The sequence below is a fragment of the Homo sapiens genome, chromosome 6, assembly GCF_000001405.40.
Source record: "Homo sapiens chromosome 6, GRCh38.p14 Primary Assembly".
Taxonomy (NCBI): domain Eukaryota; kingdom Metazoa; phylum Chordata; class Mammalia; order Primates; family Hominidae; genus Homo; species Homo sapiens.
The window spans coordinates 82,660,414-82,677,722 of NC_000006.12; the positions used below are offsets into that span (position 1 = coordinate 82,660,414).

General features: G+C 35.4%; 1 long non-coding RNA gene across 2 annotated transcripts in view; it reads right to left on the reverse strand.

Annotated features, from left to right (window-relative positions):
- The window catches only part of LOC105377876 (uncharacterized), a 90,717-nt gene that overhangs the window by 62,646 nt on the left and 10,762 nt on the right, over positions 1-17,309 (reverse strand). For both annotated transcript variants that reach the window (XR_001744232.2, XR_942739.2), the window contains one exon: positions 16,726-16,821. This is a non-coding gene — a long non-coding RNA (uncharacterized LOC105377876). The remainder of the gene's footprint in view (positions 1-16,725; positions 16,822-17,309) is intronic.

Genomic DNA, 17,309 nt, shown 5'->3' on the forward strand with positions numbered 1-17,309 from the left:
TAGAATGCTTTTATTTTGAGGATTTTATTGCCAAAGACCAAAAGATTAAAAGAACAGATCAAACTGAGCTTAAAAGTCCCTGGTTTTTAATTAAACTTCTAAAATACTAGAACATGCAAACATGCTGTTCTCTTATATGAATATCAGATAGATAATCATCATGATGACGACAACGATGAATATTAAGAACAGGGCTAGAGAGGAACAAAAACACAAATACATGAGAGGGTGAAATTCAGAATGTGGTGAAAAGCAGCAGATAAAAGAGATACAGCACAGACTCTAGAATCCACACAATTGTCACAGCCATAATGGAGCTACTTATTCACCCAAAAAAAAAAAAAAAAATCTATGGCTGAGGAGGTCCCAAAATTCTGAAAGCAAGCCTTGGTAAAAGGCATCACAAATCATTTTTCTGATTTATGACCCATGTAGGAGTCCATTTCTGAGCATCCAATACCTGAGTAAGGAAACATACTGGTAGCTCTAAATTTTACCTCAAGCTCTAATTGCAATATAAAAATAAAACTACCAGACTGGCTTTTGTATAGATGTTGCAACTGGAATGGTGCTGCGTAGACAGTATTTTTATATATTCTGAATTTATCTGTCTGTTCTTCATTTCTGCTATCACAATGGTGCCCAAATCTAAATAATATAAATGTTTAAAGTGGTATTTTTTAAATCAAAATATCTGTAGTTTCCTAGAATAAGAGAAAAGTTTCCAATTTTGATGCAACATTTTTACTGACTGACAAACCAAACAATATCCACTGCACTGACCAGTTCAGAACTGAATCCAGAGAGTGCAATTCTTAAAAATTGCTGGTTGAACTGTAAAGAAATCACATCATTAATTGTTTCTCTCATCATGGGATTTTCTCCATCTGACTTTTCTATGTACAATCAACCTGAGATTTATTGACTTAACAGTATTTTAAATAGATTTGTTAAGAAAAATAAATAGGCAGGTTGCTTATACTAGTGCTTCCCAATCTCTTTCCATTAAAGACTCTTTTTACGTTTTAATATATCTTACAGTTGACATTTACACATTTTCCACTTCCTTTAGTGTCTCATCTCTGCATTCAAGTACTTTGTTTTGAGACCTTACAGTAAGTTTAAATATAGTTTCCTTTCTCTACCTTCATGTCTGCCATTATTCAAACAATCATTGTGCCCAAATCTATTGATACATGTGCTTTTTCCCCCAAAAAATACTTCAGCTCAAATCTTGAATCTTTAAGTTAAAATTAAGCTTCTACCCCCTCAGCCCCCACAAGGCCTCAGCACCCAGTTTGGGCCCTGGTTTGGTTCCTTGCAATGTTAAAGTCACACTACAGGTAGCTTGGACCCATTCTCTGTGAAATAATTCCTGTAGTGATTGAAAAGAGCACATCCTCAGAAACATTGGTACCAAAAATATATAGGAGGTCAAGGGTGCTTTTTAAAAGACCAAGAAAGAAAAGGAATAGCACAAAAATAAAATTAAGCACTAAAATATTTCATTTAGATATCCTCTAATCTCTATGAGGGGTCTTAGAGAATAGGGCAGATGAGTTAAAATTAAAGGAAAAGGAATAGGGGTGCATGCAAAATGTTGCTCTGCGCCTGGGATCTGTAAGTGTGGCCCATCACTCCTCCTACCAGGGACCAAAGGCATCCATGTTCTGTGCTCAGAGGAGCACAGTGGCACTTCAGCTAGCAGATCCTCTGAAGCAAAATACCTTCCTAGAAAGGGACATTGCTTATTAAAACAAACAAGTAAAAAAAGTAGCATTATTTAAGAGACATATGTTGGCTTGCCTCTTTTGTATCAGGATTCTCCTTATAATATGCCACTATGAGTGTCACAACCAAAATATCACTCACAGAGTACAGAGTCAATCTTTTAAATTTAATTTTCATTGAAAATAAAGTGTATGCATTCAGTTGATAACTAAACCAAAAGCTCCTTAAAGCAAGTGTCTATGTGTTAACGATTGCTTCCTTATATACCAGATAAGTTAATGAAGGCATGAATATCCCTTTTGAAACTAGAATGATGGATACATGCTGGCTGAAAGTGAAAACAAATAATAAAATAGCACCATTCGCAAAGCACATCTCTGTGGAACCACCAGGCTAAAGATTCAACACAAGAGCTCATAGTTTTCCCATATCTGCTGCCTCAAAAGCAAATGCTCAAATTACAGAAGCTCAATCCAAGGAATCCTTCTGACAAGCAGAAATATTACCTTTGTGCTCTCCAAGATCCTATTAAAGCTACCAGAAGCAGGAAACAGTAAAAAGTTTCTGCAATAATAATGTCAGTGATGTTGATAGAGCGTTAAGGCACTTATTAGGTGTCCCTTTGGAAGAACGGGGGAAAAGATTATTAAGAATAACAACCACCAAGGATGACCAGATTCATTGGCTCCTTGTAAGTGAAAGCCCCAGGCAGTTCCTGAGCCTATTAGAAGGTCTGAGACAGACAGGCCAACAGAGGATCAATTTGTATCCAGAAGCCAATAAGTAGACAATAACATAAATGTGTGGGTTAGGTTTGCCATTTTGCTGTTCTGGGGTTTCTCGGCAAATTTGGTTCATTAGTATGAGGATGAACACTCTTTAATGAAACCAAGGTTTATTGACAAACTGTGCACAACCCGTGAAAGCATCCCTGGGAGAAAAGGCCCATTTCCTCCCCTGAAGATCCCCACAGTTATGTGATGGTTTTGTTTATTTTTCTAACCAGAAATGCTCTTTTAATAAATAAAGTGTCACTTATTATCTCCAAAAGTCACATGTTTTACAAGCAATCTGTTCTGTCTCCTTTACTAGTCTCTTAATCGAATTCTCTTTCTGTGGAGACTTTGGTATTGAACTATATTGAAAACCATTACATTTGTCTAAACATCATAGGTGATAAGATTAATTCCACTTCTAAAAGATTGCTTTGGACAGCCTAAGACATGAAACAGAACTAGAAGCATATTTAATGTCACTAACCTTAGAGACAGGGCATTCAATACAATTCATTAAGCATAATTGAAAAAGAAATCCTACAATGAAAACGTAACAAGAAACATTGTGTAAATTAACTTTTTGAAGTATATTCTTCCCTCAGTGCACATAGTCAGCTCTCATTAATTTTAATGGACATAACTTGCTCATATATCAGCTGAAGAATTTCACCTGCTTCTTGTAAAACTGGCTGCATAAAGAAAAAGGTGCCCACAAAGAAAAATGGACATTGTTGCTAAAAAGGTTGCCTAAACAATAAAGTCTAAAGTCATTATAGTTAATTAAATCTAAGTTGTTGCATAGTCTCATAAATGAGGAATTATGAAATTAAGCAAATTGTTTTTTAAAAAAAGAAAGCACCTGGGAAAATAATGTTGAGGTCAGGCCACGTGTATTGTTGACTGCTTTTCCACTCAAAATATAATTCTCCCACCAATACGAACTGTGAGTTTGAGGGTAGAGATAGTGTCTTACTCTCTGGCACTACACACAGCATCCACCTACCACCCAAAGGGTGCTCTGTAGATAGTTGAATTGAAATGGACTGACTATTCATTGTTTCCCAAATTCTCTCCAAACTTTCACACCTCTGGGCCTCAGCTCATACTGATCCCTCTGTCTAGAACATCCTCTTATATGCCCAACCCTAATCTTCAATTGCCAAATCCCCAGCCAAGCCACAAAAGCTCTATCAAATGCTAGGAAGTTTTTCCTGATACTCCCAAATGAAGATTGTTGGATCAGCATAATCTCATAATGCCGTTACATTCTTAAAACTTACTGAAGACCCCAAAGGGTTTTATTTATATTAATCATACCTATCAAAATTTAAGAAATTAAAATGGAAAAATAATTTATCTATTAATTTACTAAAATAACAATATACTCATTTCATATTGGCATAAATAACATATTTTATAAAAATAAATCCATATTTTCTCCTCAAATGTGAACAGACATATTATTTAGCAATTTTTGAATCTTTTTAATTTCTTTTTTTTTTTGGTTGAGATGATGTCTCTCTCTGTAGCCCAGTCTAGAGTGCAGTGGCACAATATGGGCTCACTGCAACCTCTGCCTCCGGGTTCAAGTGATTCTCCTGCCTCAGCCTCCCGAGTAGCTGGGATTACAAGCATGCACCGCCATGTCCAGCTAATTTTTGTATTTTTAGTAGAGACGGAGTTTCACCATGTTGGCCAGGCTGGTCTCTTAACTCCTGACCTCAAGTGATCTGCCTGCCTCAGCCTCCCAAAGTGCTGGGATTACAGGCATAAGCCACTGCACCCGGTCAGATCTCTTTAATTTCTGGCTTAAAACAGAACACTAGATTCTCATATCCATTTCTGCACTCGATATGTTGCAATAAATTGTTGGGTTGAAACATTTGAAGAAAAACTGGCCCACATGACATGTAGTTGGAAAAGAAAGGAGTATTTTCAGTTAGCTGTGGGTGTTCTTGATATTACATCGAAATTCTACAAATGGTAGTTTCTTACATATTAGTTGCAATATGAAATCTGAAACAATATTAATGAACTTTGTATATTTTGTTACATTATATTATTGTTCTATTTTATATTTTGAATAAATGTTTTTACCTATGCATGGTTCATATTATGCATCTGAATTTTTTGAAACACTTCAGATGATTCCAATGTGCAGCCATATTTGAAAACTATTGCTCCAGAATTTATGATCAGAGCCATAAGGAATTAGAATGTGTTTCTCTTACTTCCACTAGCCCTGGCCATAATAATACCTCCTCTCTGTTATTCTGGATGTGACACACAGAGAGAGAGAGAGAGAATTTGAAGATTAGGAGAAGGAGGAAAACCAGATGAAGCTAGGAAACATATGTGTATCATAACAGATCTCTTATTTTGTGAGTGCCTAGTGTGCGCTATACATGCACAGAAATGCATGTTTTTTCAGACCCATGTAAGATTATATTGTAATGCCTCCTTACTTTGCAATGCCAAATACTTTCATGTATGTTTCTTAGAAACAATGACTACACACCTATTAGAATGGCTAAAATCCAAAACAGTGACAACACCAAATGCTGATGAGTATGTGGAGCAACAGAAACTCTCATTCATTGTTCCTGGGAATGCAAAATGGAAAAGACACTTTGGAAAATCATCTGCCAGTTTCTTACAACACTGAATATACTTTTATCATGTGATCTAGAAATCATGCTCCTTGATATTTACCCAAATGATTTAAAAACTTTTATGTCCACATAAAAACCAGGACATTAATGTTTATGGCAACTTTATTCACAATTGCCAAAACTTGGAAGCAAGCAAGATGTCCTTCAGTAGGTGAATATGTAAATAAACTGTTATACATTCAGGCAATGGAATATTATTTAACAGTAAAAATAAATGAGCTCTCAAGCCGCAAAAAGATACAGAGGAACCTTAAATCTACATTGCTATCATTGAAAGAAGCCAATCCAAAAAGGCTAACATACTGTATGATTCCAACAATATAACATTCTGAAAGAGGCAAAACTATAGAGACAGTAAAAAGATGAGTGGTTACCAGGGGTTGGGAGGAAGAAGGCAAAAATAGGCAGAGTATACAGGATTTTTAGGGCCTATGATGGTGAATACATGTCATTACACATTTGTCAAAACTCATAGAATGTACAACACCGAGAGTGAACCCTAATGTAAACTATGAGCTTTGGGTGACAATGATATGTCAATGCAGGTTCATTGTTTGTAAGAAATGTACCACTGTGGTGCAAGATGTCAATAGTGGGGGAGGCTGTACATATGTGAGGACAGGGGTATGTGTCCTATCTGCTCAATTGCACTGTGAAACTAAAACTAAAAGTTTATTAATTAGAAAACAAGGGCAAGCGCATTCTTTTACAAGCACAGTTTAATTATCAAAATCAAGAACTTACTATTTATGTGACTATTATCTAATCTACGGAATTTAGTCAAATTTCACTAATTATTCCACTAATGTCCTTGATAGCAAAAGGAAGAAAATGTCTTTTTTTTCTGATCCAGAATTATATATTGCATTTAGTCGTCATGTCTCTTTATCACCTTATAATTCCTCAATCTTTCTTTGTCTTTCATGACCTCGACATTCAAGGTATACAAGCCCTCAGTTTGGGGTTATCTGATGTTTCCTCATAAATAGGTTATGCATTTATGGAAGGATTAGCACAGAAGTAAAGTGTTGTGTCCTTTTCAGAGCATAATAATAAGAAGCACATGATATCTCTGTCTCATTAGTGACATTTACTTTGATCACTTAAGGTGATTTCTGCCATGTTTCCTCAGTGTAAATCTTTTTTCCCTTTGTAATTAATAAATACCTTCTGGAGACCTACTTTGATGTGATGTAAATGTCCTATTTTTCATCAAATTTTCAACCATTAGTTTCTTTCTTGGTTCTTGGCTAAAATTATTATTACTACAGTGGCTGCCAACTGGTGATGCGTCTACTTTTTAATTCCTTTCAAGTTCTCCCTTCTCTTTCAGCAACATCAAATATTTCTGTTATTCTGGGAGTGATATAACACTAACTAAGCAGCAGCATTGCTTAATTGCATTCTCAGAACTGATCAGATTCTAATCAGTCTAATTAGGTTTGTGTCATTCAGTACATTCTAGGGCATTGCTAATGGGGCTGCCATCAAGCAGATACTTGAAAAATCCCTGGTTGGCATATCTCTTCTAGGCTCACTGAAGATTTCCAACTGTTGTTTAGCAAAGGTAAGAACACTAAAAACTCCTTGAATTTTCCTGAGTTTTAAGATCCTTGACCCAGAAAAAGAGTGGATTCCTGGGGTCCTTAAAAAGGTAATTGGAGGCTGGGCACAGTGGCTCACACCTGCAATCCTAGCACTTTGGGAGGCTGAGGCAGGTGGATCACGAGGTCAAGAGTTCAAGACCAGCCTGGCCAAGATGGTGAAACCCCATCTCTACTAAAAATACAAAAATTAGCTGGGCGCAGTGGCAGGCACCTGTAATCCCAACTACTTGGGAGGCTGAGGCAGGAGAATCGCTTGAACCCAGGTGGCAGAGGTTGCAGTGAGCCGACATCACGCCACTGCACTCCAGCCTGTGTGACAAAGTGAGACTCCATCTCAAAAAAAAAAAAAAAAAAAAGTAATTGGAAAATCTTTAGACCAGCCATAACTGTCATTTCTAAGGTTCAAACTAGGAATCATAGAACCAAATCACCTCATTGAATTCGGAGGATTTAGCTTCAGAATAAACTGACTTTTTCTCCTATCATATGCATTCTTCTTTTAAGCCTATGCAGTGGAATTTTTAAACTTCAGAGAATGTATTTTTCAGTTCTAGAATCCCCATTTGATACCTTTTTATAATTTCTATTTTTCTATTAAGAATTATTACCTTTTAATTTATTATATGGGAAAATTTTCCTTTATATACTCAAAAATAGGTGTAATTGTTTCTTTAAAATCTGCATCTGCTAATTCCAACATGTGGATTATCTCAGGGTCAGTCTCTTGTCTTTTTTCATGAGAAAGGTCTATTGGTTAAGTTTTCTTATTTCTTTGTATGGCAAGTACTTTTTCATTATATTTCGAGCACTGTGAATAATATGTTATACAGACTCTGGATTCTGTTATGTTCCTTTGAGGAGTATTAATTTTGTTGTTAGAGCAGTCAGTTAAATTGGCTGAACTCAGACTGAAAACTCTATATTTTCTATGGTGAATGGTAGCTCAAATTCCTTTACCAGTTCAATTCCTTTACCATAGCTGAGCTGCTAGGAGTCTGTCCCACATGCATGATTTGAGACCACCCAGAAATTTGAAAAGAGTTTATGAACAGCATTGTGGACTCCCCATCTCTGGCTCTTTCTTCTCCAAGATTTCTCCTTCATTTTCCAGTGGCTGTGGTTTCTCTGAACTCTGTCATTTACTTCTTTTAAACAGTAAGACTGTATGAAGTACTTTAATAGCCACCCTGCATAGCAGACTGGGACCTGTACTCAGGCAAAAAGAAAAAATATCACTAAATGATATTTATTTAATTTAGTGTCACTTCCCCTCCAGTATTTGCCTGCTTTTGTTCACTTTCCAGTGCCATCAGGCAAATAATTTTTTAAAATATTTTGTCTAGAATTTTTAATTCTCTACAGAAGCATTGTAAGTATTTTGTCAATTACCAAAGACAGAACAAATCATCTTATTGATAGTTATTTAAGATAGTGGATTCCTCTTTATCAAAAACATGGTTATATTTAACTTAATTTCCTTTTCATTAATTGATTCATCCCTTCTTTGCTTAACAGATTCACTGTGTTGAGTGTTGTCATGAAACCAAAAAATGAGAAACCCTGCCCTTGAAAAATTTAAAATTTAGTTGGAAAGAGGAAACATAAACTCATGAAACTAAATAACATGCATTATTGCTTGCATGTGATCTAGCATCAAGTGAGTGTTACCAGTAAGAGTGTTCTTGTTACTCAAAGTGTGCTCCCTGGATGAGCAGCATGGTAACCCCTGGGAGCTTTTGAAAACTCAAAATCTTGGGTCCCACTCCAGACTTACTGAATCAGAATCTGCATTTTTATAAGAGCCCCAGATGACACGAATGAACATTAAAGTTTGAGAAGCATTTTTCTAGACGTTAAGAAGAGAGGGCTCCTGCAGGAAGTTTTAGGGAAGGTTTCATACATACTGAGAGATTTCGGAGATACATACATACAGAGATTTCAGGCTCTGAATGGTCCAAGAAGACAAGAAGAGCATTTTAGGTGGAGAATACGAGGCAAAATTAGGAATAAGTTCAAACTGGGTAATAGTTAAATATAATTCTGAAAAAAAAAAGTTGACACTTGTGCCAATCAGAGTGCTTTCATCTGCAAATCAGAGAAATCACAGCCAGAAGAGATTTACAAGGACACTATTATCTCACATAAGTAGGTCAGTTTTAGGGATGGGTAATCAAATAGTTCAATGAGGTCATCATAAAAGCAGGTTCCTTCCATTTTCTGCTGTGCCATCTGCTGATTCCCAGGATATTGACTCTTAGGCTGACTCCCCCTCATAGCCTCCAGATATCTGACTCAGTTTCAAGTATTCCTTGAGGATACATCTACCCTGTCTTTGTCCTTTTTTTTTTTTTTTTTAATACAGTGATAAAAACCTTCCCAGACGCTCTCGGGAGATATCCTTTCATGTTTTCTTGGCCAAAACTTTGTAAATTACACATGGTTTCACCAATTACTTGGAAAAAAAATAATGAGACCACTGTAATTAGCTTAAAACAATTAAGGGTTACCTCTTTGGTTGGGGAAGAGTCCAGCTATCCTTGAAAGAGATGCTCATAGGAGGAGAGCAAACAAAAACCAGCGTTCTATTTTCAAAGAAGGGGAATGGCCATTGACTAAATCTAAAGTGCCTGCTGCCTTTCAATATTTCACTTTGTCATGCTGAGTCTTACTCTAAAATATCACCCTTATTTGAAGAAAGGAGCAATTTAGGAATAAACTATAGCGAATAAATTGATAGGTAAATAGACAGAAAAATATATAACTATTTAGCTTTTCATTAGCATACTGCTCATCTCACCCATAAGAAGTCCTTTTCTATGCCACATTTAAAAGAACTTTTTTTAGTTTGAAGAGCATCATTGTCAATAATAACTCTAAACTATGCCAAATGAATAACTTTAAAATCCAGCCCCCACCCGCCACTTTTTTTTTTCTTTACTGGTTTGCATTTGCTTTTCTGATACTAAGAATAACACTTAGGATTTATTGAGTGACATCTGGTTTATTAAATGTCTATTTCTTCTTGCTTGTTAAGGGGATCATAACACAGAAAGACAAAATTGAGAGAATAAAAGTATAACCAAAGAGTAGGACTAACCTCAAAACTCACCATAATTAGAAATAAACAAAGAGAAATATGCTGAGAAAATTGCCTGCCTTCATCTGGACATCTGTTTGTACATTTGAAACCTTATTCTGGAAATCTCCATTTTACTTTTCTCCATTTTTTATGTGACTGAAAGCTTCACTTTCCATGGACATCTCTTTTGCACATTTTTTTACATTCAGCCTTCAAGAAAGCTCACCTCTTAAAAGACTAGAAGGTACCTCCTCCCTGCCTGTAGACACCAGCATTTACCCCATGCTTAAGTCTAGCACTGTCACCAGCAAAGGCGAAATAACTGGGATCAACTAGTAGAGGATGCCCTGCTGTACAACAGTTGTTGTTGATGTTGGTGGTGGTGGTGGTGATGGTGCTGCTGGTGGTGGCGGGAAGTGATTTGAGGCTCTGGAACCCTTCCAACTGATATGAATGGTTAAAAAAAATACTGCCCATATATTTATCACCATGTTTTGTGTTTTCCTCATTTCTAAGTGAAGAAATGACTCCTTCTTGTCTTTCCCAAAAGCCTATAGATCGAAATTAGAGGAAGCATAACCTAAATGATTTGTGTGTCCTAAACACTTTGTTTGCCTTGAAGAAAGGAGAAGGTAGTTTTAAGGGGATTATTAGAAGGATCTCTCACCTTCCTCTAACCAAGAGCTGTACTTAACTGTTCCAAATTGGCAATGTGGATTAATAGCTCGGCACCTCAGTTTGAGTCTTGAATTCACCAATGCTAAGGATATGACACTAAGCACATCAATTACACTCTTTTAGTATCATTTTTCTCATAATAGAAATGATAATTATGGTAATTGGGCCTGTTTATGGTAAAGATTAAATGAGAAAACATTTGTTAAATGCCTGCCTCCTAGTAATGGCATCTGTTATTATTTCGTTCTGTTTAGTCAAGACTGTGACATAATGTAGAAAAAAGTCTCACATCACCAAAAAAAGTCACTTGCATTTTTCTTTATATTGACATCCCAAATAATGAAAAGAAACATCCAAGAGTCACTGATATTTGTAGTGTTTTGTTTTTTTTTAAGTAAACTGAGTTCATCACTGGCTTGGAAATAAAAAGACTGGCTCTAAGTCTGACTCCTCTACCAAGTGCTGGGGATTTACAGAATGGCACTTAATTTCTCTGGATCAGAGTTTCTTGAAAAACTTGGATGAGATGATAACTCTTATCATAAGACTTAGGACAAAGAAAAGGAGTCCCTACTTTATGTCATTCACTGATAAGATGATTTATATATATCTTCAACAGAAAAGAAAAAGGCTAACTCATTGAGATAGCCTCAACTGAAATACTTTTGGTTTTTCCCAAGACTATGTCTAAACTTCCTAATTTCTTTAAACTCTATTGCATATTCAAGGCTCATTTCATACTTACTACCTTCATGAAGCCTTCTCCAATCCTACCAACTCAGGGCATCATCTTCTTCCTTTGAAGTCCCATGACACATTGCTTTCATTTCCCTCATATCATCATGTTCTGCTTAGTGTCATAATTTATTATTTTTCTCTCTTGACTCTCCTACATTCACCACAACAGAGCGATAAGCTCCTCATTGAACTGCTTATATTTTATGTGTAATTATTGCTCCTTGAAAGCAGGACAATGCTTTGCTCATAATATTCCCTGCAGCTCCCAGCATAGCATCCTCTACAGTGCACACACAATCAGTCGTAATGGTTGAATCGAACTGAATTAAATTAAAATGAAAGTTTTCTTTAATGAAAATATTTTCTATAATGAGGAGTCATTGTATTGCTAAGTTTCTATGTCATTAAAACTTCATCTTACCTTAGAAATAAAACTATAAGAATATAACAAACTTTGGGGTTAGAAGATAAAATGCCTGAATAGAAAAACTGTTAATAAAACATTTAAAAGGACACTTTCATTTCAGAATTTCTAAGAACATATGTTTTAGATCCTAACATTTCTCTTGTTTGGAGACTCCAGATGAAATAATAGTTGTGCAAATACTTTGTAAAAAGGAAATCATTATGTAAACATCATATTTTGGAAGTATTTAGTAGTAAAATATAAAACATTATTTTCTTGGTTTGAAATAATAAAAGGAAAATTTCACCACTGAGAATAAAGAAATAAAATCAATTTTTGTACTTACCAAATTTGACAGATTCATGACACATCAATAAGAAATATTTTAAAACCCTTTTTACTGTAACAAAGATGAACCATACTTTTGAAAGATTCAGTTTTTAACAGCTAGAAAGGCACATCAGTATTTTAATTTCTGTAATTCATTTTTGATTCCCAAAGCGATGACTGTAAGATCAGTAATAGGCACACAATCACACAGCCTGAGAATGTACTAATTCAAACTATTGCACTAGTTTCATCTGGTCAGTCAGTTTGTGGTTATCCAAATTAAAGTAGCCTGATAAGGCTGTTTATTTCATAAGTCATCCATTATAAAATATGGAATAGGTTTCAAAACTGTATCAAATGTTGTAGGAATATACCACACAAAAAAATTGGCTAAGTTTCTCCACATGATCCCCTAGTCTCTCCCTTTAATACAGGTATACATTTTTTCTGAAATTTTCTTTATTTAATTTCAATATATCTGTTAGAGATTTCCATGTTAGTTCACATATATCTTCTTTGCTCATTTCATGTATTCTTATCTAATTTAACTTAACCCAACCCAGGTAGTTTCCTTCTCAAAGCCTTTCTCCAGTAGTGTTTGGGTTTCTAAGTACCCTTTCAACCCTAACTATTATGAGATGACAAAAGATGGGCAGTAAATATGTTCCCAACAGAAATGAGTGTTGGCAACCTAATGGATTAAAAAGTCCCAAACTGGAGATACCACCAAGACACTACTTGAAAGTATAATGTTGCCGTTTATTACAACAAAAACAAAGATAAATAGATGGGACTTAAACTAAAGTTTCTGCACAGCAAAAGAAATAATCAGCAGAGTTAACAGACAACCCACAGAGTGGGAGAAAATCTTCACAACCTGTACATCTGACAAAGGACTAATATCCAGAATCTACAAAGAACTCAAACAAATTAGCAAGAAAAAAACAATCCCATCAAAAAGTGTGCTGAGGACATGAATAGACAATTCTAAAAAGAAGATATAAAAATGGCCAACAAACATGTAAAAAATGCTCAACATCACTAATGATCAGGGAAATGGAAATCAAAATCACAATGCAATACCACCTTAATTCTGCAAGAATGGTCATAATCAAAAAAATCAAAAAATAATAGATGTTGGCATGGATGTGGTGAAATGGGAACACTTTTACACTGTTGGTGGGAATGTAAACTGGTACAACCACTATGGAAAACAGTGTGGGGATTCCTTAAAGAACTAAAAGTAGATCTACTATTTGATCCAGCAATTCCACTACTGGGGATCTACCCAGAGGAAAAGAAGTTATTATATGAAAAAGATATTAATACTTGCACACACATGTTTATAGCAGCACAATTTGTAGTTGCAAAACTATGGAACCAGCCCAAATGCCCATCAATCAACAAATGGATAAAGAAAATGTGGTCTATATATACCATGGACTACTACTCAGCCATAAAAAGGAATGAAATAATGGCACTCCCAGCAACTTGGATGGAATTGGAGACCATTATTATAAGTGAAGTAACTCAGAAATGGAAAACCAAGCACCATGTGTTCTCACTGATAAGTGGGAGCTAAGCTATGAGGACACAAGGCATAAGAATGATACAATAAATTTTGGGGACTCGGGGGAGAGGATGGGAGGAGGTGAGGGATAAAAGACTACACACTGGGTACAGTGTACACTGCTTGGGTGATGGGTGCACCGGAATCTCAGAAATCACCACTAAAGAACTTATTTGTGTAACTAAACACCACCTGTTTCCCCAAAACCTATTGAAATAAAAAATAAAGAAAAGAAACAAATAAATCATAATAAAGCTTTCCTGAAGACCAAAAAATAAAACAAAATAAAACCTCTAGAAATAAACCTAGACAGATATGTGGTGAGAAAAAAAAGAAAATTAATGTTGCCATTTATAATTTCCCAGTGTCATTCACCAACCTAGCTGGCTATTGCTTTAGACAAAATGATCACTAATTACAGCAATAGGCTATGAGCCATATTTTTTATAAAAGTTTCAAGGAATCATTTCCTAGCATCATAGTCCCACCTTATACACCATATTGTATCAACACTTTACATTATTGCAAACTTTAGAGGTGTTCTTCGGCCTCTTTTCAATGGTTTCCTTTCATTTGATAATGTTATCCCTTTATCTCTCTGCACTAAAGGTAACATCACACCCCCACATCTGATATAGTTATAGCACCCAGAGCAGAACTTACAATGGAGAACATGATCAATTCTTCCAAAAGTACTGTAGGCCTACCCAGAAGCACAGTCATTATCTTAGCTGCTTCCGTCTAATGATAGAAAAATCTTTTATAATATGTTTGCGTTAGCATTTTTCCAAAAACCCTGAAATTTGAATTTGTTTTACTCCAGAAAGACATTAAGTTGTTTCTGCATTCAAACAACTCTTAATGCAATAGTTCAGTATACCCCAAACCTATGCTATCTCATTTTGTAATTTAATTCCCTCAGTATCATTCACCTTGGTTTTTGTTACTCCCAAAGGATAAAATCTCATTTGTGCAAATTTGCAAAATATCTTTTTATAAAAATCTTTTTTTGCAAACAAGTAATGAGTAGAACTAAAGTTCCCAAGGGGTTTCTGTTTTACACAAAAACAAAATTTGTAGTCCTGAAATGTTGAATGACTAAAATCTATATTTACCTGTTTAATCACTTGCCTTCATAAATCCTCTAGACCTGATATCCCTAATTAAAATTCATAGCATTCCAGGTGTGCACAGATGTGTTAACTGCTAATGCATACTTATCTATTTCAATGAATTGAGGAAACATGCTGAGGGTTTTTATTTCACAGTGTGGCCAAATTATGCTTCGCTGTTTACATCATTGAAAGAACTAAAAGGGTTTTCCTATCTGAGATTAAGGCCCAATATCTCACTTGAACCCATAATAACTAGAAACTAGGGAGATAAGAAAATCTTATACTGGGATTGAACAAATAAGTAAATTGATGGTGGACAGTGGGATCCAGGTTTCTCTCTGCTGAGAGGTTATAGATAAGTTGGAAGTCAGAATGAAACATGTGGTGTGGGCTTGGGGTCAAAGACATCAGTGTAAATTCATCTTTAACTTAAAATATATACAGATAGATAAATACAGAAATGATTTTGTATATGTGTGAACACATGGGTTAGTATACATACATATATTTCCTAGCTCTGCCCTCTGAGAGGACCTTCTAGAAGCAATAACATCCCAGGATGAATGAGCACACCCAATGCCCAGATCTTGGTTTCTAACACCATTCTCCAATGAAAGGAACCAGGGCTCCTTGAGAAATGGCTGACTCTAAGGCTGAGACAGAGAATATACAAATGACCCTGGAACATCATGTAGTGCCAGAAAGTAAGGATATGCTAAATAAACAAAATGATGGGGACCTGCCAAAGGTATACATGAATTAACCTGAGATTATTCAAAGGGGGAGAAGAGACAAATCTCCCATGTAGAAAAATTCCAAATAATTTACATAGATACTTACCCGTCAAGGAAATGGAGTTTAACTTCCCATCCCTTGAATATGGACTGCACTTACTAACTTGCTTTCAAGTGTTGGGGAGTAGGGAGACTATATTTACAGTGGAGAAACTTGTCAAACACTACCTTGACAGGTGGTCAGGGTTAACATCATCATTGACCAGTCATGTTGATAGCATATACCCTTGATGCTATGTGATAAGAATGATACTTTATCTCTGTGGTATTATTTCTAAAATCTCATAATCCCAGACTGATTGTAAAAAGGAAACATCAGACCAACCCAAATTTAGATAGTTCCACAAAATATCCAACCAGTACTCCTCAAAATTATCAAAGTCATCAAAAAATTTTTTAAAAATCTAAGAAACTCATCACAGCCAAGCAAAGTCTAAAGAGACATAATAACTAAATATAATGTGTTTTCCAGTAATGTGTTTTCTATCTAATGAGATCCTGGAAGAGAGAAAAAAGGACTGGATCCTGGAACAGAAAAGTCTGTTGGGGAAAAAACAGTTAAATCCAAATAAAGTGTGACATTCATCATACTCACCAATGCTGGTTCCTTAGTTGTGACATATGTACCATTCAGAACAGGGGAAACTGGGTGAGGAGTACATGTGAATTCTCTGTACTATCTTTGCAACTTTTCTGTAAACCTAAAACTATTCTAAAAGAAAATTTTATTTAATTTTGTTCATGTGAGAGCAAGTTTCAGTATGTTTCCTAAAATAAGAAACTTTGAATTAAAAGTTGCTTTGCTCTGGGACAATCAATACAATAGACATCTTAGTTATGCAAATATAATACAAGGATGTATTTTTCATTTTTGCGGAAAACCTAAGTGCAGTGAAATAACCCAAATGATAGCTATTTCAGAGGAAGAAGCTTAGCTGTCTGGTTAGGTAAGCTAGCTATGTAATAAGTTTGGCCAACTTATGACTATGCAGACTTTTTTTTTTTAATTTGCAAAGAATATGTATGAGTGGTTTAAATTATTGTGTGTCCTGGTACAGATGAGAAGTCAAGCTGGAGAAGACCTCAGGAAGAACACATAAACAATTGCAGATCAACTGCCAGATACTACACCATCATAGACTGGACTAGTGAAGGCTGTGGCAACATCTAATTATAGTTGACTATTGAGGAAATTAAAACATACTCTACAAATACTTATTTCTACTCACATAATTGGGAAGAGACATGTCCTTCTGCATTTTCATCCAAATTCTCCTCCAAAGCCAAGCAAAATTGACGCTGTTCTTATATACGGGTGCTGAGATCTGAAAAGACCACAAGATAAATGTGTTGGTCAAATCTAAATTTATTAGGTGATCTTTGGAGGAGTAGACAATCAATAGTCTGGTTATTTATTCTGAAGAAAATAGCTTTGGCTAATGTTGCTCTTGATAAGAATGAAGTCTCTAAATTTGAAATCATGAGTTACAAACTCAAATGTCTACCAGGTTTAAGTAGACATCACAAAACAGGAATCAAGGAAAATAGAAATCAAGTTTAGACAGATCCTGTCTAAAAGTAGTGGTGACCATTAGCACCAATTGACTTCTACCTTGTGGAAATGTAGACCCAATATTAATGGGTATTTTTAAGAAAAAGAAGAAAAGCCTGATTTTTGTCATGAAGGTTTTGAAATATTAGCATTGGTTTAAAAAAATGTAAAACACTGCATGGTCCAAATGACATATATCTGTGATATTAATTTGTACTAAAGGCAATTAATTTATAACTTCTGGCCTAATTATACCATTAT